Source organism: Homo sapiens, chromosome 1 (assembly GCF_000001405.40).
Source record: "Homo sapiens chromosome 1, GRCh38.p14 Primary Assembly".
Lineage (NCBI taxonomy): Eukaryota > Metazoa > Chordata > Mammalia > Primates > Hominidae > Homo > Homo sapiens.
In genome coordinates this window covers 150,265,360-150,288,785 of record NC_000001.11, presented here as the reverse complement: position 1 = coordinate 150,288,785, position 23,426 = coordinate 150,265,360, and the positions used below count along the sequence as shown (strand labels likewise).

Below are 23,426 nucleotides of genomic sequence, written 5' to 3'. Positions count from 1 at the left end.
TAAATAGACTACATTGTCAAGAAGTATGGAGAAAATAAGAGGACAATCAGCCTTAAGAGATGTTTTCAAGGAGGAAGGATCTGATCATATTTGTGATCAAACCATTCCATTGCCACCACTCTGGTCTGATCATACTTGTGATACTTGGACAAATAATTATTGTTGGGACAAACTGAAGTTACAAGATAAAGAGGGGATATGTGACACAGCAAAAGTTCCAGAGGTGAAGGTAATCAGAAGCACAAATGGATAGGTTTGCCTTTAAAAGGAGGTCATACTCTCTGAAAATAAGGCGAGACAATTATTCACTGAGAACAGAAGACTTGAGAAATGGGGGAAAGATGTGTAACTACTTATGAGAAACACACTAAAGAGCCAATAAGCAATGACTAAGTTGTCAGAGAAGCCTGATGCCCTACACAGGATTAGGATGGGAGAGGAAATGGTTTTGGTGGAAAGTGAGACACATCAGAAAGAGGATAAAATACAAAGAAGGGCAGTTATAGATCCATTCATGGTCTTCATTTTTGCCTCCTTCTAACTCTGAGTTGCCTCCCTTAGTCTAGCATACATCTAGCACCTGCAGCTTTTTTTTTTTTGAGACAGAGTCTCATTTTGTCACCCAGGCTGGAGGGCAGTAAACCTCCACTTCCCAGGTTCAAGTGATTCTCCTGCCTCAGCCTCCCGAGTACCTTGGATTACAGACACCCACCACCATGTCCGGTTCATTTTTTTATATTTTTAGTAGAGACAGGGTTTTACCATGTTGGCCATGGCTTGTCTCAAACTCCTAACCACAAGTGATCTGCCCACCTCAGCCTCCCAAAGTGCTGGGATTACAGGCATGAGCTACTGCGCCTGACCTAACTGCAGCTTTTTGAGTAAGTATGAAGCCTAGTGTCTTGAGGTGTTCCCATGTCTGACAATTCTAAGGAGCCCTTTCCTCTTTAAAACTGGCAACCACAGTGGCTGTTTTGGCTCTTGTGTTCTTCCTCTGGCAGCAGAAACCTACATATGCATTTACCACGGGCATCAACAGCTCCCATCAAAGCAAAGAGCTAGCCCGGAGCAGAAGAACCTGCAAGTCTGGGCCAGCTGGAAGATTACAAAGGTGTCAAAACAAGGGGAAAGGTAGAGTCTCTGAGCCTGAATGAAAACATAAACCTGGCTGCACGTGGTGGCTCACGCCTGTAATCCCAGCACTTTGGGAGGCTGAGGTAGGTGGATCACTTGAGGTCAGGAGTTTGAGACCAGCCTGGCCAACGTGTAGTGAAACCCCGTATCTACAAAAATATAAAAATTAGCTGGGCATGGTGGCATGGGCTGTAACCTCAGCTACTCAGGAGGCTGAGGCCTGAGAATCACTTGAACCCAGGAGGCGGAGGTTGCAGTGAGCTGAGATCGTGTCATTGCACTCTAGCCTGGGAAACAGAGCGAGACTGCATCTCAAAACACAACAACAAAAAAACCCCATAAACCCAACTCTGAACTCTGTAACTGTTTCAAGGATGTCCCAGGAAAACAGCAGCACAGTCCCCTTCTCCTATAAGTCTTATATTGTCATCCAGACTCTAACTTGGTAGAGCTCATGTTCACAAACATCCCCATCCCTTTTCTACTTTTCTGCAGCTCAGAGGATAAGGATTGGTTTTGGAAGCAGAAAGTTTTCAATTTCCCCCAATCAGCAAACTGTTTAGGTATAAAAAAATTTCTTTAATCAGAAAGGATTTATCTTCCCTCAACACAAATGCACACATTAATAGTAAAAATACATATATACATAAATATTTACACAAATTAGAAGTCACAGTGGACAGCTGTATGCCCTGGGCTAGAGGTTGAGAAGATGAGCATCAGCAGCAACTGGAGGATGGCTTCTCTGCTGCTCCCGGTGTCCTATGGTCATCTTTCTGGCCAAGGTGGGTAGACTGGGAGGGGATAGGGTATAGCTCCAGTCTGATGGCAGAGTTACTGGCAAACTGTAGCAACGAGGACCCTCTCCAGATAGTTTCATAGGCTCACCAGGGATGACAGGAGATGCTGTAGTAGGTGGGACTGGGGTGGTTGGGGCAGAGTGGGTGAAGGGTTGCACTCCATGCTGGAGGAAAAGAATGACGCCAATGCCGGTTCCAGTGCCTAAAGGACCATGGCTAAAGGAGATAGTACCTGGGGAGCTGAGAGGGGGGTTGCAAATTGGAGTGGTGTGGATCCAGGTGAGGTTCATAGCTGGCCATTGTGTGAGGTGCCAAGGCTGCTTTGGTTTTAAAGCTAGATGTCCTAGCTGTGTCTGGTCCATCTTTTCCATAGGAGATGCAGGAGAGGAAGCAGCTGAATCACTGTGGTGGCTTGGAAAATGCTAGAGAGGGGAGAAATGAGAAAAAAAGAAATGTGGAGAAAGCATTCAGATGAGCTCCACCTGGTTACTTAAACCTTTGCATTCCTTGGGAACTCAGTTTGCAATGCAAACATACCTCGTTTTATGCAACAGATATGATCTTGCCAGGCCATGATTAAGTAAAAGTTTTGGTAACTAAATTATACTTTCATTTATTAAACAAATAAATGGCCTACTATGGACCACATACTATATTAGACACTGGATATCCAGAGATGAAGAAAAAACAAACAGTTCCATAGGTTCTCACTATTTATAAAATAATCCCTTTTAGAATTTCTTTGAAGTCTATTTTTAATTGGAATCATCATTTCCCAAATTCTGTATTTAAATTCGAATATTCTATCTTGAGTTCTTTAAGAAGTGTAAATTAATATTCAGGCAAGATCCTCCTACTGTTTTTTTAAAATTTTATATTTGAGACAGGGTCTCACTCTGTCAACGAGGCTGGCACAATCATGGCTTACTGCAGCCTCGACCTCCCAAGCTCAAGAGATCCTCCCACCTCAGCCTCCCACCCAGCCTCAGCTGGGACTACAGGTGCACGCCACCATGCCCACCTACTTTTTGTATTTTTTGTAGATAGCAGCCTTCACCATGTTGCCCAGGCTGGTCTCAAACTCCTGGGCTCAAGCAATCCTCCTGCTTTGGCCTCCCAAAGTGCTAAGATTACAGTGAGCCACTGTGCCTGGCCTACTTATTTTTTAATAGATTAGTCACAGCAATAATAACCATGGCTGATTGAAAATTAGGACTGGTGATTATCTACAGGAGACTCTCCTTCTCCGTCATTTGAATGCCCTCTACATACCCTATTATTTGAGGACAGAAAATAGGTCACTTTTTTTTTTTTTTAGATGGAGTTTCGCTCTTGTCTCCCAGGCTGGAGTGCAATGGCACGATCTCGGCTCACCGCAACCTCTGCCTCCCGGGTTCGAGCAATTCTCCTGCCTCAGCCTCCCGAGTAGCTGAGACTACAGGCGTGCGCCACCATGCCTGGCAAATTTTTGTATTTTTAGTAAAGACGGGGTTTCACCATCTTGGCCAGGCTGGTCTCGAACTCCTGACCTCATGATCCACCCGCCTTGGCCTCTCAAAGTGCTGGGATTACAGGTGTGAGCCACCGCTCCCGGCTGAAAATAGGTCACTTCTATACCAGGTCTAAGAATCTATCAACACTGCTGCTATTGGTGCCCCCCTCCCCTACTTCCAGTGAGGTACCTCTTATGACCAGTCCTTGAAACCCAGTGTAGACTCAAAAACTGTCAAAGGGTTTGGCACAAGGATACGTGGGCAGAAATGAAAAGAAGGAGAAGGGAAGGGTTTGGGGGCAGTAGGGAAAAAAGAGTTTGCAGAGAGAAGCTGAGGTGTATTCCCGCATGAATCATTTGGCCAGGTAAAAAGCCTTTTGTATCTACGCAGAAAGCAGATAAGCTGTGGCATGAGGGATAGGATTAAACTTCATGGAGTTCCTCCCAGTGATTCAAACAAAACAACAACAACAACAACAACAACAAAACATGTAGGAATCAAGACAATGCAGAAAGTTTAGGAATTTCCTTCCCTGAAAAGAAACTTGAAGAAAAGACTCAAAAGAAAATGGCAAAAGGGGCCATTTCTGCATGCACATTTCATTTTCTTGGCTATTTTCCCACCTCTTCCTCGTGTTCTTAAGTTCTTACCTTGGTCAGCTGATGCTTGCCACCACCCAATGATGACTTCTGGGCAGCTATTTGTGGAAACCAAGTCTTTAACATCCCTTCTACCTGTAGCAAGGTTCCTAGGTAACGTTCCCTGTGAAAATGACGTTGCTTTAAAAAACCAGCAACAGGATTGGAGAAATCTCCTTTTTATGAAGACCCAAGCAAAGAACCAGCGGGACTTACCCCATCTGTGGCTTCTGCAAAACACCTACAATACGCTGGATCCTGTCCATTGCCACACTCTGCTGAAAACTGCTTAATCCTGGGGACAGGGACAGAGAGAGATTAAGGATTGAGATTCAAGCATGTAGTCAGGTAAAGGAAGAACAGAAGGGGGTTAAAATTGATTGATCTAAAAAAATTAAGTCGGGCCAGGCAAGGTGGCTTACGCCTGTAATCCCAGCACTTTGGGAGGCTGAGGTGGGTGGATCACCTGAGGTCAGGAGTTTGAGACCAGCCTGGCCAACATAGCGAAACCCCATCTCTACTAAAAATAACAAAAATTAGCTGGGCATGGTGGTGGGCGCCTGTAATCCCAGCGACTGGGGAGGCTGAGGCAGGAGAATCGCTTGAACCCAGGAGGTGGAAGTTGCAGTGAGCCGAGATCGCGCCATTGCACTCCAGCCTGGGCAACAAGAGCAAAACTCCGTCTCAAAATAATAATAATAATAATAATAATAATAAAGTCATAGTAGCAAAAAAGGAGTAATATAGGCCCCAAACAAGAACTTCAGAGAAATACACGTCAAAAGAGGGAAAGAGAAAGAGAAATGAACCTAGCCCAAATGAATGCAACAATAAGATTACCTCTCTCAAAACGACCCATCTTCAGCCCATTGAGTAGGTCTGTGAGAGGAGGTATAAATCCTTGGAGTTCTTTACACTGTAGGAAAATAGGACAAAGGCTGTAAGAAGACAAAAAACTGCCCACACCAGCAGTGGCTCTTCCTTCACCTCCAAATCTGGGAGTCAATACTGTCCTCACAGGGTCCTTATCAACCAGCTGGGTGCTAAGGCACTCCAGGAGAATCTCCTTTCACCTGCTTTCTCTTACCTTCTGGGCAAACAGCAGGTCTCCCTCTGTGGTACAACCTTGGGTGTTTAGACTGGTCTCCAGTTCACCATCTCTTGATCTTTTCGCCCCAGATCCTGCCATAGGAGAAGCCGAACCCCGCTGTTTCGGATGAGATGGTGTATGCTGGTTACCGGAAACCTTCGATCGATGCCTGCAGCGGATAGGACCCGGGCTGGGCCGTGAACCTCCCCTCTGCCCAACAGTGTCTGGCCTGGGCCCATGGGCCCCCTTGTCCTCCCTCTCACTATCAGAGGGGAAGCCAAAGTCACTGTTCACTGGGGAGGTGGGAAAAGACGAAGAGAGAGAGTAGGAGGAATAGGAAGAAACGCTAGATGGAGAATCCATAGGTCCAGAAGCAGGGGCTATAGAACAGCTCCTGGAGTACCCAAAGATCGGAACCTGCAACTGAAGAGCAAAGCGAGGGAGTTTGAAACCAGAGTTTAAGGATTAGGAAATGAACTGGGAGATTGGGGTGTACTGCGTGGGATAATACTTGTTCTCCCCCTCCCCAATATTACCGGTCTCAAACACAATAGAAAAAGACATTTCTACCCCCACCCCCGCCCATTAAGAGCTTGGGATTCCCTCTCTGGCCGCCGCAGAGCAGCTCTCGGTCTGACGCGGCCTCCGTTCTTTTCTTCCCTCAGTTCAGAGTAAATACCGACTTGAAAGACACCTTCCCCTCCGCCCGTTGTTCGCCAGGGCTATTCGCCAGCCTGAGTCCGCAGCAAGCCTCTCCACCTGAGGCCATGCCACCCACAAGCAGTCAATCTGGGCACGCGAACCCACCTGGTGATCCTACGGGAACCGCCCCCATAGAGACTGGCCTCCTGCCCTCTCCCAATCTTTCAAGATCAGGATCCCTGCGCCGGTCTCTCTGGGCTCGCACCTGCCACGTGATGCAAACCCTCCCAATACCAAGATCTGCATTCAGCCCCCAAATCCACTCCCAAATACTCCCTAACAGCTCGCTTTGTCCTCCGAATCTCCTTACCTGTTGTCAGCCGGCTCAGCCCTGGCTCGGTTTCCAGCTCCTTCGCCGTCTCTCCGGGTCTATCTACCCACCTCCGCCTCTCTCAGTGGGCCCCGCCCCTTCCCCCCCCTCCCAGACACGTGCGGCCCGGCACGTGCCTCCCCCTGCTTACACAGATCTCGCGCCCTCATTGGTTGTGTCGCCGGTAACACGTGACTCTAGTTACTGAAGTCCATAGCCCATTTGCTACAGTACAAAGGGGCTCAGCCAGTAGAGAGGCAGCCAGGTGATGATTGGCTGTAAGGGAAGCATTCCGTGCTCCTCCCCTACATGCGGCTGCTGGAGAGGACCCGGTGATGAGAAAAGGAGGAGGATGGAAAAAGAGTGGAAAAGAAGGGAGGGGAGGAAAAGGGCGGAGCCCGTGGCCTTAAATAGGATGGTGATGCGCCAGAGATGCGCGGTTTGAGTGTTCAGAGATTGGTTGTGCTACTGAAGGCGGCGGACGTGGGACCCCCGGTTCCGTCTCGGGAAGTAACTCATCTGCCCCCTCTTTGAACACCTCCGCTCACGAGCGCAGCACGTGGAAACCGTCAGTGATTTGTGTCTGCAACGTGTGTGAGAGAATGGAGGTGTGTGACACGGTATATTCTCCTGCTCTCGGCGGCCCAGCCCTCGTGACTCTCCGGTCTCTGTTTCACCTCCCCCACCCCTTTCTCCTCCAAGTTGGGTGCCTCCTGCCCTGCTGGGTGAGGAGGGTGGGGATTGCAACCGAGAACACCGCGTCCTTTCTGGCTCCCGCTGGGGCGGCTCCTCCATCCCTTTTCTTACATAACCTACCACGCACGTTACCAGCTCAGATGCCAGCCCGCCACGACGCTAGAGGTCAAAACGAAACTCAGTTTTTCCTGACTTTTTTATCCAGGCTTCTCGGGCCCGGCGTCCTAAATTATCTGATTCCAAGCACGGGGAACAGAATGGGGTAGGTCCCTGATCTCCTAGGTTATGGTTTTGTCCAGCTTCAGTCCCTTCATTTGTCCGCTGGAGAAGATTCGAAAGACTTTGAAGGAGGGGAGGGAGGCAAGTCCAGAGTTTAGAGAGTCTCAGAAGTAACTGGGACGTTACTATTGTCGTTGCGCCTTGCATTTTGAGAGTACAATGGAGAGGAGAGCAGGGCCCAAGGACTGTGAGCTGGTTGAAGATAGGACGTCGGAGAGACCGCAAGGGGGCAGCCCAATTCTAATTAGGGTCCCGAGGATAGCGAATTAAAAAAAAATTTAAGTGAGTTTGTCCCTGCCATAATTACCAACTGCAAAAGGCACATTGTTGGACAGAGGTGTGGGTAGGGGTGGGTAGGTGTGAATATTTTAAGTCTATTCTAAGTAGTTTTTGATATTTTACCTTATGTTTTAACAATGTGCTTATTCTTATAAAAAGAAAAAAAGATTCTAAAACCTCAACCTCGTTTCCCCAAGCACACTGTTTCAACACCATACTTAATAAAATAAAACAAGAGAATTACCAATATGGACTGTGAATAAACCTGTTGTCTGTGGGTGCCCTTCTCCAGTCTTCTCCAAACTGCAGGTTTATTCAGTCCATAATGCCCTCTAATTCAATTGTCACCCACCTCCCCTTCCAATCTACGCTTGCTGCCTCTAAATCCTGGCGCTCTCTTTAGTTGTGACTTTAGAACAGACTCATGAAGGAGTAGATGGTAACCAGATTATTTCACTTATTATTTATTTTATCTTCCAATTTCCTCTTGCCAGACTCCCATCCAAAGAGTCATAGCAGCCTTCTTCCACCTAAAAAAGCAGAGAAAGAAAGAAAATAAAAGGAGTCAGGAGACCCGAGAAACCCCTTCATGCCCCCCACACTCTATGGAAACTCCCCAGATATTCTGAGCTGGGATTGCTCTGTGATAGCTCCTGGGAAAGATGTGTGTGTACCCCTCTCCTCCACAGTCCTTTCACCTCCTGCTGAATCTCTCTATGATCAATGGTTATTTAGCATCCCAATTTAAAAATTCTTTTCCTATAATACGGCTTTCTCTTCCCTTCTCTCCCACCGCCCTGCCATACATCAGAGAACCGCCATCCGTTCTGCCTCTGAACTTTGCCTCTTGACTCTACCAGGTTGTAAGACCCACCCACTTTGCCCTCTGGCATTCGCCATGACTTGAAACGTGGCCAGGCTGGAACTAGCTTTGATTGTTCAGACATTTTGGAAGCTTGGAGAAGTATTCCCCCAACCCCATCATCTATCTGCTCTAGGAGATCCTGAAGTCCTCTTAGTTCAGAAAAAGTAATGACTCATCACAAAAGTCTGCCTCAGCATCTCCTAAACTTCTTTAAGACTGAATAAGAAGATTTTTCTAAATGTGATCCCTCTTCTTTCATTTTACTTGTTATTTTTTGAGACAGTCTCACTGTGTTGCCCAGTGGCAACAGTACAGTGGCCAGATCATGGCTCACTGCAGCCTCCAATTCTTGGGCTTAAGGGATCCTTCCACCCCATCCCCCCCAATAGCTGGGACTGCAGGCCTGTGCTACCACACCCAACTAATTTTTATTTTTAATTTTTTTAACGTCTTGTAGAGGAGTTCTTATTTATTTATTTTTAATTTTTTTGTAGAGACAAGGTCTGTTGCTCAGCCTGGACTTAAACTATGTTGCTCAGCCTGGTCTGGAACTCCTGGGCTCAAGCGATCCTCCCACGTCACCATCCCAAAGTGCTGGGATTATAGGGATGAGCCTAAATCTCTTCCTTCAGTGGCTGATAATTGACCAGGCTGGAAACACTAACTAGAGATACTGGTAAGAATTACTTCGGTTTAGTGTGGGAAGTTAAAAAATATTATTTCACAGACTCCCCCAAAGCCAGTGGCTGCACTCTTACCTTCTACATGAAATACATCCCCACCTGAACAAAGGCACACGACAGGAGGAGGGGAATAGGACTTCGCAAACTGGACACGGCATCGTTCAGATCTGGACTCTGCTAAAATACCGACATCCCCACACAGTAGGCTGGTGTCATTCCTCCTACCACTTCTCTGTCCCCCTCCAGAAAGACTGCCACCTCTTTACAACAACCTCTGTCTTCCTTTCCTTTGGGCTTAGAGAAAGATCCATCCTTCCCCATCACTGTAAGGAGTCCTTCTGTGCCTTTCAGCTATCCCTGACCATACCAGGGAGGCCAATTCAATTCAATTGTTTCTATTTTTTATCTATTATGTGCATTATACTATACTAGTCACTGTGCTAGGTGCTATAGAAAGGGACATAAATATGAATAAGACAAGATTCCTGTCCTCAAGGAATTTACAATCTAAAGAGAGTCTACTCTATATTTTATTTATTTGTTTGTTTATTTATTATTATTTTTATATCCACCAGGCTGGAATGCAGTGGTGCAATCTCAGCTCGCTGTAACCTCTACCTCCAGGGTTCAAACAGTTCTCCTGCCTGCCTCCCAAGTAGCTGAGATTACAGGCACCCGCCACCATGCCTGGCTAATTTTTGTATTTTTAGTAGAGACACAGTTTTGCCATGTTGGCCAGGCTGGTCTCAAACTCCTGACCTCAGGTGATCCGCCCACCTCAGCTCCCAAAGTGCTGGGATTACAGGCGTGAGCCACTGCGCCCAGCCTACTGTATACTTCAAAAAGAATTAACTGCCCTTATTGTCAATCTTTCACTTCCATTCTTACTGGCTTCTTTCATCTGTGCTCAACTATATGCAGGCTGCTCTTTGGTCCTATTCCCCTTTCCAGCCGTTGCTTCTCTTTTTCATTACCAGATTTTTTAGATGGTTGGTCTGTACTCACCTCCCTTTCCTCATAATGTACTCACTCTTTAACTCCACAAAAATCTAGCTTTTCTCCAAGCACTCAGTTAAAACTACTTTCTTGAGAGTTACAAGTGACCTCCTCCTCCTTGGCCTCTTGGTAGCTTTTGATGGATTATATTAAACTTTCTCTTCTAGACTCTATAATACAAACTTGGCTATCTGCCTACTTCTCCAGTCAAATCCTTCTCCATTCCATTCATTAATTTCTCTTCCTCCCACTCACTACAGGCACAGTCACTGGCCTTCTGAGCTTGTGTGTACTGGCTCTGTTGAGCTCATTTACTTTCATATCTGTGACTTTGCACTTAGAACTCTAGCCCTGATCTAGTTCAGTGACCTTTAGGACACCCTCATAGGGCTGTCACCATAAACTCAGCTTGGCCATTACCAAATTAATAACTTCTGTCCTAAACCACTCTGGCCTCCCATAGTTCCCACTTTGGTCAACCATTTTCCCAGACATCCATGTTTAAAACCCATGAGTTATTTTAACTCACTCCTCATTTATACTTCATATAAAATTATCACTCAAGCAAGGTATTTTCTTCATAATATTTATTTTTCTCCTCTCCATTCATAATGCCAGAGTACAGATTGTTTCTGGAACAACGCAAATCTCATGAGTTGCTTTCCACTAAATTATTTACATCCTGCATACAACCTGAAGAGTGGTTTTTCTTTTTCTTTTTTTGAGATGGAGTTTCACTCTTGTTTCCCAGGCTGGAGTGCAATAGCGCGATTTCGGCTCACTGCAACCTCCGCCTCCCAGGTTCAAGCGATTCTCCTGCCTCAGCCTCCCAGGTAGCTGGGATTACAGGCATGTGCCACCACACCCAGCTAATTCTGTATTTTTACTATAGACAGGGTTTCTCCATGTTGGTCAGGCTGGTCTCGAACTCCCGACTTCAGGTGATCAGCTCACTTCAGCCTCCCAAAGTGCTGAGATTACAGTCGTGAGCCACCACACCTGGCCGGTTTTTCTAAAATATCACTTTTCATCGTGTTTTTACCATAATGAAGAACTTACTAGGCTCCTTGTTGATTATGAGTCCAGACTTCAGCCTGACACCTGAGACTCTCTGAAATTTGCCCCTATGTTGCCACATGTGAAATTACTAAGCAAGTATTAGGAGCCTTGTAAATTTTATATTTTTCTTAATTCCCACTGTTCCCTTCCATATACCCTCTCCTTCAATCATACCCTATTTGCTAAACATATTATGCTTGTTCTATTCCCCCCTCCTGTGCAGCTCTTTCACTCTTTTTTTTTTTTTTTTTTTTTTTTTAGTATAGAGTCTCACTCTGTCGCCCAGGCTGGAGTAGAGTGGCGTGATCTCGGCTCACTGCAACCTCTGCCTCCCGGGTTCAAGTGATTCTCATGCCTCAGCTTCCCAAGTAGCTGGGATTACAGGCACGCACCACCACGCCTGGCTAACTTTTGTATTTTTAGTAGAGATGGGGTTTCCACCATGTTGGCCATTGAACTAGCCTTGAACTGCTGACCTCAAGTGATCCGACCACCTTGGCCTCCCCAAAGTGCTGGGATTACAGGCATAAGCCGCCATACCTGGCCTCTTTCACTCTTGGAATAACTATTCTTCCTCCTAATTGCTTCTGTCCTTCCATAACTACCCACCAATCAAAAGCTCATCTATTCTTCAGGGTGTATCTCAAGCACAAATGCCTCTTGAAAGCTTTTCAGACAACTCTAGCCTGTACTAATCTCTCTTCTTACATTGGCTAAAGCACTGCCAGTATCTTCTGCTTTCAAATTTATATATAATTTAACATCATAACATACCTTTTCATTTTGTTCTAAGTGTTTCGTAAACTTGAATTTTATAAATCCTTGAGGACAGTAACATAGATTTCTTTTTTATCAGCATCAGTTACCTTAGCAGCCTTAGGCATAGATTACATACCTATTGAATACTACTGAACTGAAATTTAACTGTACCATATCTTCCCAGTGTTCTGTAAACAGGGTTAGTATTAAATCTTAGTGAAACATGGCCAAGTTGAGATGAATACCTGCAATGAAGTACTAATTATTTGGTTCTCCCATCCACCAAAGCCTGGTATTCCAGCCCTCTATGTATTCCACGTCACTAGGGATGTCCTGTCTCCCCCCAGCCCCCAATCCCCAATCAACTCACAGGTTCCGTTGTTACTGGTTTCACAGTTACAGGCTTCGGATGGTCTGCACGTGCTGTTTCAAGACTAATGGTAGTCTCTATTGCTTCTGTTATGTCCTTATCCAACCTGTTCTACCCTCAGTAGGATTTGGGAAACACAGAGTTATCAGTTTTTCCATCCAACATCTTCATAGATTCTCTACTTAAAGTTCTCCCCTTCACCACCTCCACCCAGCCCAAAGACTTAAGCTCAGGGATTCCCCCCTACCCTATGCTTGCATAGATTTGTACCCATCTCATTCAAAAGTCCCTTGATGCCCCTCCTCAGTGTCTTAGCAAACTTACTGAGGACAATTTATAAAGTTCTGGCTTTTTTCTCCTCCCCAGATAGGTTAACAAATCTGTTTTGGGCCTACTACTTAGTTTCTCCTCATCAAACTCATTTTTATTCTTGTTAATCAGATACATTTCAACATTGCCCAGTTTCTTTTCTTTTCTTTTTTCTTTTTTTTTTGTAGATGAAGTCTGGATCTGTCACCCAGGCTGGAGTGCAGTGGAACGATCTTGGCTCACTGCGTCCTCCATCTCCCGGATTCAAGTGATTCTCCTACCTCAGCCTTCTGAGTAGCTGGGATTATAGGCATATGCTACCATGTCCAACTAATGTTTTTGTATTTTTAGTAGAGACGGGGTTTCACCATTTTGGCCAGGCTGGTCTCAAACTCTTGACCTCAAATGATCCACTCGCCTTGGCCTCCCAAAGTGCTGGGATTATAGGCATGAGCCACTGCGCCCGGCCAGTTTCTTTTTAATTGTTACTTATCCTAACCCTTTTAGATGTAGAGTTCACTCACCAGCCTGTCCTCTGACTCAAATATGGAGTAATCAATGGTGAAATCTGCACTAAAGTCATCTGCAGAGGAGAAAGAAAATCAGTAATAATTAAAGAAAAATGTAACTCTAGATCTGGAAATGAAAAGGGAAGAAATTACTCAGAATAGTTTAACTTAAGTTGTAACATTTATTGGTATAATCCAATTTTATTTAACTAATGTTAAAAATGACTGTGAATGTGTATGCATTTATATTTTCAATGTAGGTATCTAAAATAATTTACAAATTTGAAAAATTTTCAAGTTCTTCTTTTTTTAGAGTCAGGGTCTCACTGTGTTAACAGGCTGGAGTACAGTTGGTTCAATCATAGCTCACTGCCACCTCCAGCTCCTGAGCTCAAGTGATCCTCCTGCCTCAGCCTCCTGAGTAGCTGGGACTACAGCCATGTGCCACCATGCCCAGCTAATTAAAAAAAAAAAAATTTGGCCGGGCACGATGGCTCAAGCCTGTAATCCCAGCACTTTGGGAGGCTGAGGTGGGCAGATCACGAGATCAGGAGTTCAAGACCAGCGTGGCCAACATGGTGACACCTTGTCTCTACTAAAGATACAAAATTAGCCGGGCATGGTAGCACACGCCTGTAGTCCCAGCTACCTAGGAGGCTGAGGCAAGAGAATAGCTGGAAGCCGAGAGGCAGAGGTTGCAGTGAGCTGAGATTGTGCCACTGCACTCTAGCCTGGGTGACAGCATGAGATTTGGTCTCAAAAAAAAAAAATTTTTTTTTCTATAGAGACAAGGTCTTGCTATGATGTCCAGGGTGGTCTTGAACTCCTGGGCTCAAGCAATCCTCCCATCTAAAAATCACTATCTGGAAAAATAACATCATCATGAGTCTTTTTTTTTTTTTGTGACGTAGTCTCATTCTGTCGCCCAGGCTGGAGTGCAGTGGTGTGATCTCAGTTCACCACAACCTCTGCCTCCCAGGTTCAAGCGATTCTCCTGCCTCAGCCTCCTGAATAACTGGGACTACAGGCAGGTGCCACCATGCCCAGCTAATTTTTGTATTTTTAGTAGAGACAGGGTTTCACCATGTTGGCCAGGCTGGTCTCAAACTCCTGACCGCAGGTGATCCACCCACCTCAGCCTCCCAAAGTGCTGGGATTACAGGCATGAGTCACTGCGCCCAGCCCATCATAAATCTTTTTTCATTTTTTTTTTTTGAGATGGAGTCTTGCTCTGTCACCCAGGCTGGAGTGCAGTGGCACGATCTCAGCTCACTGCAACCTCTGCCTCCCGGGTTCATGCCATTCTCCTGCCTCAGCCTCCCAAGTAGCTGGGACTGCAGGCACCCGCCACCACACCCGGCTAATTTTTTGTATTTTTAGTAGAGACAGGGTTTCACTGTGTTAGCCAGGATGGTCTCGATCTCCTGACCTCGTGATCCGCCCGCCTCAGCCTCCCAAAGTGCTGGGATTACAGGTGTGAGCCACCACGCCCGGCCCCATCATGAGTCTTGATAGGTTTTGTTCATAGCCAGATTTTTCTCTGACCCCATTGCTCTGCTTCAAAGTGAAGAGCAAAGTCTCAGAACTAAATATCCTGAAGCCTCTCTCCAGTTGGCTAAGGGCAAGAGCCTTTCATGTACTCACCATAACTGGGGGTGACTGTATAATAATAGACCACCTGATAATATTCATCCTCTCCCAGTCTTTCTTCATCCTCATATTCTTGTCCTATGGGGACAAGGACTAGAGGTCAAGGGACATCTGGAACACCTTACTAACAAAAGGACACCTGGAGATGACCTCAGCGCTCCCAGCTTTCTTGCTCTTTCTTTCTTTTCTCTCTCTCTCTCTCTCCTCCAATAGTCATACTCCTTTCTTGCCTGTGCACCTCTACACCCCTCTCAGTCTTCTGGGATCCATATCTGTAATGAGGCCTGTTACTCCGTGCCCTTTCAATCCAGGAACTCCTAAAACAGAAAACAGTCCCCTTCACATACTATAAACCCAAAGGGAGAACCAGACCTAAAAAAGGTAGGAAAAGTAGAGACCAGGAATTAAAAACGCCAAGTCTTCTATTTAGTATGCTCCAGATCTTACTGTATTTGTGAGACATCTTTTCTTATCAGTATCTCTTACAAATAACTAACATACACCCTTAGGCTTTGGATTTGAGCTTTAGTTCCACCTTCACTGCTAACAGAATAACCCTGAACAATCCACTTAACATCCGCTTTCTTAAAATGAGTCAGCTGGACTAAAATGACCCATCTCTGTTAGTTTTTCTTCCCTTTCAGAACTAAAAATATGTGGCTTTGATATGACTGGATCAAGAACTCCAGGCCTCCTGCTAAACACTTCCCTGAGCTCCTTGAATGCTTTCCCTTCAACTCCAAGCTAATGACACAAGAATCTAGAGGAAAAGGAAACAATGAGACACACCTGGTAGACTGGGGAACAAAGGAGGGAAGGAGCCAAGCTACTCTTGGGACCCTGTCCCTGAAGACAGCCAGTTTTCCACTACCCTAAAGGTCACCCCACTTCTGTGTCTTTACTAATAGCAGGTTTTTTTCTCCAATTCTCTGGGAAAGGAGATACCCTAACTACTAGTTTCAGACTGTGACACCTTCCAATAATCCCTCCTTCACCCTTACTTTAGCCCCTGTCATCTTGTTCAACTTCCGTGGTGATGGAGAACTGAGCTCAGTGTTGCTAGGGCCTCCTTGTGTCTGGAGCTCCATCCTCCTTGTTTGACAGGACTCTGCTTTTTTCCCCCTTTCCTGGCTCTGCCTTCCAGATCTCCATTCTGCCCTCAACACCGGACCCCAGCACGATGAGAAAACTCTATCGCTCCCCACTGAAATGTACCTCTCACCCACTCCTCATTTTTTTTCTCCCACCCCATTTATGGTAGAAGACCTGGCACAAAAGCTCAGAGAGAGGAGTGGACTTACCCAGGATAAGTGGCACAGCAAAGATGGCTACAAAGAGGACATCCATTCTGGATTCTGCACTATTGCTGTGAAAGTAAAAAAGGAAATTACAGAGTTTCCCACCAAACTTACCCCGCCTCCCCTCCTCCTCCAAAGCAGGGAAGGAGCTGCAGCAACTCTTCTCCTCCCAGGGGGCAGAACTCCCCGCCTACTGGCTGACTGACTAGATCTCCGGTTACTGCCGGTCCCCAGCCAGAGCTGCCCAGATTGAGAGGCAAAAGGGGGTTTTGATGCAAACATGTTTCTTAAGCTCCCCCTGCCCTAGATTAGATCCATTCAAGACTCCCACTGTCACTACCAAAATAAAAATAAAAAATAAGCCTACCAAGAAGTTTCCCCTCTCCCGGCTTTCCTTCCTTCCTCCAAGGCCTCATAAAAAGTTCACCCTCCCTCTCACTGTCTCTGACTTACCATCACCACCCAGAGTTGCCTTTCTCTCTGAGGCTTCATCAGTCTCTTTTCGTCACAGTGGAAATGTTCTGAGGAAGGGGTGAGCATTTTTCTAGACTGAAAAGAATCCCTTTCTTCTGTCTGTCTGGAGCTATAGAGAATAGGAACAATATTTACCCATCATTGTCTGACTTAAAGCACCTGCTGCATGGCTTCAGCTAAAAGTCTCTCAGCCATGGTCAGTTATTTCCTTTCTGGTAACACTGACCTCACCTCACCTCTTTGTTTTTTTTTTGAGACAGAATCTTGCTTTGTCACCCAGGTTGGAGTGCAGTGGCGCGATCTCGGCTCACTGCAACCTCTGCCTCCCGGGTTCCAGTGATTCTCCTGCCTCAGCCTCCCTGGTAGCTGGGACTACAGGCGCGTGCCACCATGCCCAGCTAAGTTTTGTATTTTTAGTAGAGACGGGGTTTCACCATGTTGGCCCAGGCTGGTCTCGAACTCCTGACCTCAGATGATCCACCTGTCTTGGCCTCCCAAAGTACTGGGATTACAGGCATGAGCCACCGTGCCCGGCCTCACCTCATCTCTTTCTCAACTTCCAGGATGCAGGTTGGAAGAAGGGAGAAAGCAGATAGTCTCTTTCCCTGCTACAGGTGCCACACCTTCCCTCCCACATTCAGTCACTTGGTATGTTCCCTTCATTCCGTCCTACAGGTGTAGAGTTTTTATCCTTTCCTCTGCTTTTATGTTTCCCATGTTCATTCAATTCAGAAACCCTTAGCAACATACGTGCTAGGCACAGTGTGCTAGGCCTAGTGTGATAGGCAATTGAGAGCTTATAGGCAAGGGAATAAGAAAAGACAGTTTTGCTTTGTTCTTAAGGGAAGTTAATAAGTATCTGCTCAACATCTACTATGAGTCAGGCACTATGCAAGTGTCTGTGGAAACACCCATGAACAAGATAGGTTTACAGCCTCCTGTCAATGGTCAGAAGATGCTGTGGTAACAGCTCAATGGAGAGATGAAGCTGGCCACAGTGGCTCACGCCTGTAATCCCAGTACTTTGGGAGGCTTAGGCGGACAGATCACCTGAGGTCAGGAGATCAGCCTGGCCAACATGGTGAAACCTTGTCTCTACTAAAAATACAAAAATTAGCTGGGCTTGGTGGCAGGCGCCAGTAATCCCAGCTACTAGGGAGGCTGAAGCAGGAGAATCACTTGAACCTGGGAGGCAGAGGTTGCAGTGAGCCGAGATAGCACCACTGTACTCCAGTCTAGGCAACAGAGTGAGACTCCATCTCAAAAAAAAAAGACATGAGAATTGTCTCATTCCTATCCACCTTACTCTGCCTGCTGGGCTCAGAAGCAGGACATACTGGAGTCTTGAACACAGGTCATGATAACGCTACCCTCTTAATTTTTTTTTTTTTTTTTTTGAGACGGAGTCTCACTCTGTTGCCCAGGCTGGAGTGCAGTGGCACGATCTCGGCTCACTGCAAGCTCCGCCTCCTGGGTTCACGCCATTCTCCTGCCTCAGCCTCCTGAGTAGCTGGGACTACAGGCGCCCGCCACCACGCCTGGCTAATTTTTTGTATTTTTAGTAGAAACGGGGTTTCATCGTGTTAGCCAGGATGGTCTCGATCTCCTGACCTCGTGATCTGCCTGCCTCGACCTCCCAAAGTGCTGGGATTACAGGCGTGAGCCACTGCGCCCAGCTACCCTCTTAGTCTCATTAGGGAATAATTTGCCTGGTGACTTTCCATGTAAATATTTTCTTTCTTTTTTTTCAGAGACAGAGTCTTGCTCTGTCGCCCAGGTTGGAGTGCAGTGGTGGGATCTCAGCTCACTGTAACCTCCACCTCTCAGATTCAAGCTATTCTCGTGGCTCAGCCTCCTGAGTAGCTGGGACTACAGGTGCGCACCACCATGCCTGGCTAATTTTTTGTATTTTTAGTAGAGATGGGGTTTTACCACACTGGCCAGGCTAGTCTCAAACTCCTGACCTCAAGTGATCCAGCCGCCTTGGCCTCCGAAAGTGCTGGGATTACAGGCATGAGCCACTGTGACCAGCCTCCGTGTAAATCTATACAATCTATTCCTCAGCTCCTTTCCAGAATATCCTGGAAGACATGTAAAACATGTATGTGAGTGTGCACATATGGATTAAATAATAAATCACTTCCAGGAAGGAAAGGAAGTTTGGTTATCTTTAAACAATTTCTGTGGGGTTTTTTTTGGTACTTTGATTATGCTTTCAAAAACAATATTCCAGATTTCTTTCCTCTTTTCCATCCTCAGATTCCTTTGCCTAACATCTTCCCTAAGGACTAACCTCTCCCCATCCAAATGAGATTACAATACCCTCCTCTCCTACTTAACTTTCTTTTTCTTTTTTGAGACAGAACCTCACTCCGTTGCCCAGGCTGTAGTGCAGTAGCGCAATCTCAGCTCACTGCCACCTCTGCCTCTTGGGTTCAAGCTATATTTGCCCCTCAGCCTCCCAGGTAGCTGGGATTACAGGCGTGCGCCACCACATCTGGCTAATTTTTGTATTTTTAGTAGAGATGGGGTTTCGCCATGTTGGCCAGGCTGGTCTCAAACTCCTGGCCTCCCAAAGTGCTGGGATTACAGGGGTGAGCCACCGCGCTCAGCCTACTTTAACTTTCATTCACTCTAATATACAACCCCTCTCAGCCTCAGGAAAACGCACCACTGAGGTTCATTTTTCAGAAAATAAATAGAGGAAGTATGACATAAAAGGAATTTATGGCGGGGGTGGGGTGGGGGTGTCGTTTTCCTTCAACCCCATCGCTCTAATTGCTTTTAAACTCCCGGACTCTTTCAAAATGCCTTCCTAACATTTCTCTCCAGGCTCCTTTTGCTTCTCTCCGATTCTCTTGTCATTACAGATGAAGGCTTCATTAGCGATATACTGTATTCCATGTTTATTATACTAGTCTGTCCGAAGAGCTCCTACTTTTTAATGTAATCTTCATCTCTTAGGCAGCAGCTCTAGCCCATTTCCTCTCATTCAAGTAAGAACAATACCCGTCCCTATCTCCCTGCGCCCCATCCTGTGCTCTCTTTGTATTTGTCCCTTAGATTCAAACAGGATCTACCCCCTCTGCAGCCCTTCAAGAAGAGGTATGATTGCTACCACTTTTCCCCACAAAGTGACGAAAGGAAACAGCGACGGAAGCGCAACCGAACCCTGGAATTGGTGTCTCGACTGGTCCATTCCCGGCCCACCCCCATTAACCGGCTCGAGCCACTCCCAGGACGAAGTCAAGGCCTCGGAAGGCGACTACAACTCCCAGCAGGTCGAGCAGCTCCGCCCGCGCTGATTCTCCATTGGCCTTCCGGGGGTGGGGATTAGATGGGAGGTGGCCGTGGGGCTGCGGCCGGGATTTGTCCCCTCTTCGGCTTCCGTAGAGGAAGTGGCGCGGACCTTCATTTGGGGTTTCGGTTCCCCCCCTTCCCCTTCCCCGGGGTCTGGGGGTGACATTGCACCGCGCCCCTCGTGGGGTCGCGTTGCCACCCCACGCGGACTCCCCAGCTGGCGCGCCCCTCCCATTTGCCTGTCCTGGTCAGGCCCCCACCCCCCTTCCCACCTGACCAGCCATGGGGGCTGCGGTGTTTTTCGGCTGCACTTTCGTCGCGTTCGGCCCGGCCTTCGCGCTTTTCTTGATCACTGTGGCTGGGGACCCGCTTCGCGTTATCATCCTGGTCGCAGGGTGAGTAGAGGGCCCGGGAGACGCGGGAGAGCGTCGAAGAGAGAGGTGCGGAAGGGGCTGGAGGAACTGGGGCAAGCCTGGGAGCCTGAATTGGGGACGATAAGTCGGAGGTGAAGTTTGGGCGGAGGTGAGGGGTTGGGTCTGGGAGATTTGTCCTTTCCCGCAGTTGGTTTCCACCTTCCAAGGATCTCACAGATTCCTCCTATATTCCTCCCAGCGACGTCAGAGAAGGCCCAAGGCCGAGACTCGTGAGGGGGCTGTGCTGACCTAGGCAGGCCGAGTCAGGTGCCTTAGGGGAGGATCCAGGAACGGATACCTCGCCCTTCCGTGCTCGCACACTCTGGCTGTCATCGCTCTGAAGACTCTTTAATTAGATTTCTCCCCTTTCCAGTGCGTTCACTTTTCTACAGATGAGTCTCTTGGTGGAGACAGTTACCCTACCTGGTCCATGTCTCCCTAACCATCCGGAAGGCTAACTTCCACTTTTCAAGCAGCTTTGGCTGGTTTCCCTCCTTGATTTCTCTGGCTCCCACTACTATTGCTTGTCTCACTGCCCCTGTCTTTTCTCAGGGCATTTTTCTGGCTGGTCTCCCTGCTCCTGGCCTCTGTGGTCTGGTTCATCTTGGTCCATGTGACCGACCGGTCAGATGCCCGGCTCCAGTACGGCCTCCTGATTTTTGGTGCTGCTGTCTCTGTCCTTCTACAGGAGGTGTTCCGCTTTGCCTACTACAAGCTGCTTAAGTAAGAAGATGGAGTGGTCTGGAGGGGAGAGGGGCAAAGGACTGCACTATGGGAAGTGGGGCAGCCCCTGGGTGCTGGTTTGGAAGAGGAGGCACTAAGGGAGGACATTAGAGGGAAAGGAGCATCCCTGCCCTCCCTCATGTTTCCCCTACCCCACCCCACCCCAGGAAGGCAGATGAGGGGTTAGCATCGCTGAGTGAGGACGGAAGATCACCCATCTCCATCCGCCAGATGGCCTATGGTGAGCCAAGGGAGAGGGACTGGAGGAGGGAGTTGGACAGCCCCCTCCTCTAGGGAAGTCTCTAAATATCCACATGTTCTAAGTGGCTTCTTACTTTCCTTCATCCGTCACTTCCAAAGAAAGTTGGTCTGGAGGGAGAGTAGATGTGAAAGAATTGTAACCGGGAATGGGGAGGGGTCAGTGGTGAACAGGCAATAGTGTGATCTCTGACATTGATGAGATCCTCCCTTCCCCCAGTTTCTGGTCTCTCCTTCGGTATCATCAGTGGTGTCTTCTCTGTTATCAATATTTTGGCTGATGCACTTGGGCCAGGTGTGGTTGGGATCCATGGAGACTCACCCTATTACTTCCTGACTTCAGGTAAGATCCACCTTCTATCTAGCCTTTACCCCCCATCCATCCTTGTCCCTGATCTGATTTATTGGCCTTCCCTGAGAGACTTCTTTGGCTCAACATCTCAGGAGCCTGGGAGAAGATCAGGGATGTATCTCCTCCCCATCTCCCTCCCTGCAGCCTTTCTGACAGCAGCCATTATCCTGCTCCATACCTTTTGGGGAGTTGTGTTCTTTGATGCCTGTGAGAGGAGACGGTACTGGGCTTTGGGCCTGGTGGTTGGGAGTCACCTACTGACATCGGGACTGGTGAGTTGGAGACAGGGGCCTGAGTTAGGGAGAAAAGCATTTAATGGTGAGTGGGATGTGGGGGAAAGGGTATCCTCACTTCTTAACATTTTTAACTTACCTGGGAGGAGGAGGAAAGGTGAGTCTTTCAAGGTCTCTCACCTCAGCATCATTTCTATCACCTGCTCTGGGGAGGAGGTTGAAAGGATTAGTCAAACTGTAATGCAGAGGGCCTGAGGTGAGCAGGAGCGGCAGAAACCTTTGAGTTTCTGAGGAGCTGAAAATCAAAAGTCCCCTTAACCACAAGATGTTGGTGCTCTGAAGGGAAAGACTGGAGAATTTGAGAGAGATATCTGGGAGTCAGAAAGGTACAGAGAGAATATGGGGATTAGGTCGAGGGAGAATCTAATCTCTTTCCTACTCTTACCCTCCTTCCTAGACATTCCTGAACCCCTGGTATGAGGCCAGCCTGCTGCCCATCTATGCAGTCACTGTTTCCATGGGGCTCTGGGCCTTCATCACAGCTGGAGGGTCCCTCCGAAGTATTCAGCGCAGCCTCTTGTGTAAGGACTGACTACCTGGACTGATCGCCTGACAGATCCCACCTGCCTGTCCACTGCCCATGACTGAGCCCAGCCCCAGCCCGGGTCCATTGCCCACATTCTCTGTCTCCTTCTCGTCGGTCTACCCCACTACCTCCAGGGTTTTGCTTTGTCCTTTTGTGACCGTTAGTCTCTAAGCTTTACCAGGAGCAGCCTGGGTTCAGCCAGTCAGTGACTGGTGGGTTTGAATCTGCACTTATCCCCACCACCTGGGGACCCCCTTGTTGTGTCCAGGACTCCCCCTGTGTCAGTGCTCTGCTCTCACCCTGCCCAAGACTCACCTCCCTTCCCCTCTGCAGGCCGACGGCAGGAGGACAGTCGGGTGATGGTGTATTCTGCCCTGCGCATCCCACCCGAGGACTGAGGGAACCTAGGGGGGACCCCTGGGCCTGGGGTGCCCTCCTGATGTCCTCGCCCTGTATTTCTCCATCTCCAGTTCTGGACAGTGCAGGTTGCCAAGAAAAGGGACCTAGTTTAGCCATTGCCCTGGAGATGAAATTAATGGAGGCTCAAGGATAGATGAGCTCTGAGTTTCTCAGTACTCCCTCAAGACTGGACATCTTGGTCTTTTTCTCAGGCCTGAGGGGGAACCATTTTTGGTGTGATAAATACCCTAAACTGCCTTTTTTTCTTTTTTGAGGTGGGGGGAGGGAGGAGGTATATTGGAACTCTTCTAACCTCCTTGGGCTATATTTTCTCTCCTCGAGTTGCTCCTCATGGCTGGGCTCATTTCGGTCCCTTTCTCCTTGGTCCCAGACCTTGGGGGAAAGGAAGGAAGTGCATGTTTGGGAACTGGCATTACTGGAACTAATGGTTTTAACCTCCTTAACCACCAGCATCCCTCCTCTCCCCAAGGTGAAGTGGAGGGTGCTGTGGTGAGCTGGCCACTCCAGAGCTGCAGTGCCACTGGAGGAGTCAGACTACCATGACATCGTAGGGAAGGAGGGGAGATTTTTTTGTAGTTTTTAATTGGGGTGTGGGAGGGGCGGGGAGGTTTTCTATAAACTGTATCATTTTCTGCTGAGGGTGGAGTGTCCCATCCTTTTAATCAAGGTGATTGTGATTTTGACTAATAAAAAAGAATTTGTAATTGTGGGGGAACTTGGCTTTTAAGGGAGGGGATAGCATGTTAAT

At 47.6% G+C, this 23,426-nt stretch overlaps 4 protein-coding genes across 24 annotated transcripts, besides 11 other annotated features; 2 read left to right on the top strand and 2 right to left on the bottom strand.

The window, feature by feature from the left end:
* Positions 1-1,692: 1,692 nt before the first annotated feature.
* CIART (circadian associated repressor of transcription) lies at positions 1,693-6,232 on the bottom strand. 7 transcript variants are annotated; one of them, XM_047446893.1, is made up of 6 exons: positions 5,963-6,232; positions 5,153-5,578; positions 4,906-4,981; positions 4,282-4,360; positions 4,078-4,189; positions 1,693-2,356 (listed from the first exon to the last, which is right to left on the bottom strand). In XM_047446893.1, exons 2-6 carry the CDS (start codon positions 5,516-5,518, stop codon positions 1,832-1,834), a joined length of 1,158 nt encoding a protein of 385 aa, XP_047302849.1. In that variant the 5' UTR covers positions 5,519-5,578; positions 5,963-6,232; the 3' UTR covers positions 1,693-1,831. The 7 variants fall into 7 exon arrangements, with proteins under 7 accessions (XP_047302849.1, NP_001287770.1, XP_024309143.1 ...); NM_001300841.2 differs by having other exon boundaries at positions 5,153-5,324; XM_024453375.2 differs by having other exon boundaries at positions 5,153-5,272.
* Positions 5,550-6,491: an enhancer, noted in NCBI's record as "H3K27ac-H3K4me1 hESC enhancer chr1:150254706-150255646 (GRCh37/hg19 assembly coordinates)". NCBI's record gives its function as "activates a minimal SCP1, AML or CMV promoter by ChIP-STARR-seq in primed H9 embryonic stem cells {active_cell/tissue: H9 hESC(primed)}" and the evidence as "EXISTENCE:reporter gene assay evidence [ECO:0000049][PMID:30033119]".
* Positions 5,550-7,166: a biological region, named in NCBI's record as "BRD4-independent group 4 enhancer GRCh37_chr1:150254031-150255230".
* Positions 5,966-7,166: an enhancer, noted in NCBI's record as "BRD4-independent group 4 enhancer chr1:150254031-150255230 (GRCh37/hg19 assembly coordinates)". NCBI's record gives its function as "activates an origin of replication core promoter dependent on BRD2, P300/CBP, MED14 and CDK7 cofactors, and independent of BRD4, by STARR-seq in HCT116 cells {active_cell/tissue: HCT116}" and the evidence as "EXISTENCE:reporter gene assay evidence [ECO:0000049][PMID:35650434]".
* On the top strand, positions 6,604-19,730 carry LOC124904414 (uncharacterized). Its single transcript, XM_047438213.1, has 2 exons — positions 6,604-7,125; positions 19,457-19,730. The coding sequence occupies exons 1-2, from the start codon at positions 6,770-6,772 to the stop codon at positions 19,728-19,730; spliced, it is 630 nt and encodes a 209-aa protein (XP_047294169.1). The 5' UTR covers positions 6,604-6,769.
* Positions 6,848-6,927: an enhancer, noted in NCBI's record as "active region_1680". NCBI's record gives its function as "activates an Ori minimal core promoter by ATAC-STARR-seq in GM12878 lymphoblastoid cells {active_cell/tissue: GM12878}" and the evidence as "EXISTENCE:reporter gene assay evidence [ECO:0000049][PMID:35858748]".
* Positions 7,248-7,357: an enhancer, noted in NCBI's record as "active region_1679". NCBI's record gives its function as "activates an Ori minimal core promoter by ATAC-STARR-seq in GM12878 lymphoblastoid cells {active_cell/tissue: GM12878}" and the evidence as "EXISTENCE:reporter gene assay evidence [ECO:0000049][PMID:35858748]".
* C1orf54 (chromosome 1 open reading frame 54) lies at positions 7,862-20,055 on the bottom strand. 8 transcript variants are annotated; one of them, XM_047430446.1, is made up of 8 exons: positions 19,966-20,055; positions 16,373-16,502; positions 15,923-15,987; positions 14,616-14,699; positions 12,987-13,045; positions 12,154-12,264; positions 9,045-9,146; positions 7,862-7,951 (listed from the first exon to the last, which is right to left on the bottom strand). In XM_047430446.1, exons 3-7 carry the CDS (start codon positions 15,966-15,968, stop codon positions 9,048-9,050), a joined length of 399 nt encoding a protein of 132 aa, XP_047286402.1. In that variant the 5' UTR covers positions 15,969-15,987; positions 16,373-16,502; positions 19,966-20,055; the 3' UTR covers positions 7,862-7,951; positions 9,045-9,047. The 8 variants fall into 8 exon arrangements, with proteins under 8 accessions (XP_047286402.1, XP_047286411.1, XP_047286417.1 ...); XM_047430455.1 differs by having other exon boundaries at positions 9,045-9,143; XM_047430461.1 differs by lacking the exon at positions 14,616-14,699.
* Positions 8,194-8,488: an enhancer, noted in NCBI's record as "tiled region #3157; HepG2 Activating DNase matched - State 8:EnhW". NCBI's record gives its function as "activates a minimal TATA promoter and a strong SV40 promoter by Sharpr-MPRA in HepG2 cells {active_cell/tissue: HepG2}" and the evidence as "EXISTENCE:reporter gene assay evidence [ECO:0000049][PMID:27701403]".
* Positions 19,059-19,670: an enhancer, noted in NCBI's record as "OCT4-NANOG-H3K27ac hESC enhancer chr1:150241516-150242127 (GRCh37/hg19 assembly coordinates)". NCBI's record gives its function as "activates a minimal SCP1, AML or CMV promoter by ChIP-STARR-seq in naive H9 embryonic stem cells {active_cell/tissue: H9 hESC(naive)}" and the evidence as "EXISTENCE:reporter gene assay evidence [ECO:0000049][PMID:30033119]".
* Positions 19,059-19,988: a biological region, named in NCBI's record as "OCT4-NANOG-H3K27ac hESC enhancer GRCh37_chr1:150241516-150242127".
* Positions 19,318-19,367: an enhancer, noted in NCBI's record as "active region_1678". NCBI's record gives its function as "activates an Ori minimal core promoter by ATAC-STARR-seq in GM12878 lymphoblastoid cells {active_cell/tissue: GM12878}" and the evidence as "EXISTENCE:reporter gene assay evidence [ECO:0000049][PMID:35858748]".
* Positions 19,428-19,477: an enhancer, noted in NCBI's record as "active region_1677". NCBI's record gives its function as "activates an Ori minimal core promoter by ATAC-STARR-seq in GM12878 lymphoblastoid cells {active_cell/tissue: GM12878}" and the evidence as "EXISTENCE:reporter gene assay evidence [ECO:0000049][PMID:35858748]".
* Positions 19,531-19,988: a silencer, noted in NCBI's record as "fragment chr1:150241198-150241655 (GRCh37/hg19 assembly coordinates)". NCBI's record gives its function as "represses an EF-1alpha promoter that drives an FKBP-Casp9 reporter gene in an ReSE screen in K562 erythroleukemia cells {active_cell/tissue: K562}" and the evidence as "EXISTENCE:reporter gene assay evidence [ECO:0000049][PMID:32094911]".
* On the top strand, positions 19,770-23,382 carry APH1A (aph-1A gamma-secretase subunit). 8 transcript variants are annotated; one of them, NM_001077628.3, is made up of 7 exons: positions 19,770-20,088; positions 20,659-20,829; positions 20,997-21,070; positions 21,308-21,430; positions 21,584-21,711; positions 22,130-22,253; positions 22,592-23,382. In NM_001077628.3, the coding sequence occupies exons 1-7, from the start codon at positions 19,976-19,978 to the stop codon at positions 22,654-22,656; spliced, it is 798 nt and encodes a 265-aa protein (NP_001071096.1). In that variant the 5' UTR covers positions 19,770-19,975; the 3' UTR covers positions 22,657-23,382. The 8 variants fall into 8 exon arrangements, 5 of the variants coding, with proteins under 5 accessions (NP_001071096.1, XP_047278022.1, NP_001230701.1 ...); NR_045033.2 differs by having other exon boundaries at positions 20,795-20,829; positions 22,130-23,382; XM_047422066.1 differs by lacking the exon at positions 20,659-20,829.

What these genes read in the sequence shown, in the direction of transcription:
- CIART (NM_144697.4), bottom strand. Translation starts at nt 5,518, where the DNA reads ATGGATTCTCCATCTAGCGTTTCTTCCTATTCCTCCTACTCTCTCTCT. An exon ending in GATGGGTCGTTTTGAGAGAG is followed by an intron (nt 4,361 to 4,905) that starts GTAATCTTATTG and finishes CCCTGTCCCCAG; the next exon opens with GATTAAGCAGTTTTCAGCAG. An exon ending in TTGCAGAAGCCACAGATGGG is followed by an intron (nt 4,190 to 4,281) that starts GTAAGTCCCGCT and finishes TCATTTTCACAG; the next exon opens with GGAACGTTACCTAGGAACCT.
- LOC124904414 (XM_047438213.1), top strand. Translation starts at nt 6,770, where the DNA reads ATGGAGGTGTGTGACACGGTATATTCTCCTGCTCTCGGCGGCCCAGCC. An exon ending in AGCACGGGGAACAGAATGGG is followed by an intron (nt 7,126 to 19,456) that starts GTAGGTCCCTGA and finishes TTTGTCCCTTAG; the next exon opens with ATTCAAACAGGATCTACCCC.
- C1orf54 (XM_047430446.1), bottom strand. Translation starts at nt 15,968, where the DNA reads ATGGATGTCCTCTTTGTAGCCATCTTTGCTGTGCCACTTATCCTGG. An exon ending in TACAGTCACCCCCAGTTATG is followed by an intron (nt 13,046 to 14,615) that starts GTGAGTACATGA and finishes TCTCCTCTGCAG; the next exon opens with ATGACTTTAGTGCAGATTTC. An exon ending in AACCAGTAACAACGGAACCT is followed by an intron (nt 9,147 to 12,153) that starts GTGAGTTGATTG and finishes TCGGTATTTTAG; the next exon opens with CAGAGTCCAGATCTGAACGA.
- APH1A (NM_001077628.3), top strand. Translation starts at nt 19,976, where the DNA reads ATGGGGGCTGCGGTGTTTTTCGGCTGCACTTTCGTCGCGTTCGGCCCG. An exon ending in GTTATCATCCTGGTCGCAGG is followed by an intron (nt 20,089 to 20,658) that starts GTGAGTAGAGGG and finishes GTCTTTTCTCAG; the next exon opens with GGCATTTTTCTGGCTGGTCT. An exon ending in GCCTACTACAAGCTGCTTAA is followed by an intron (nt 20,830 to 20,996) that starts GTAAGAAGATGG and finishes ACCCCACCCCAG; the next exon opens with GAAGGCAGATGAGGGGTTAG.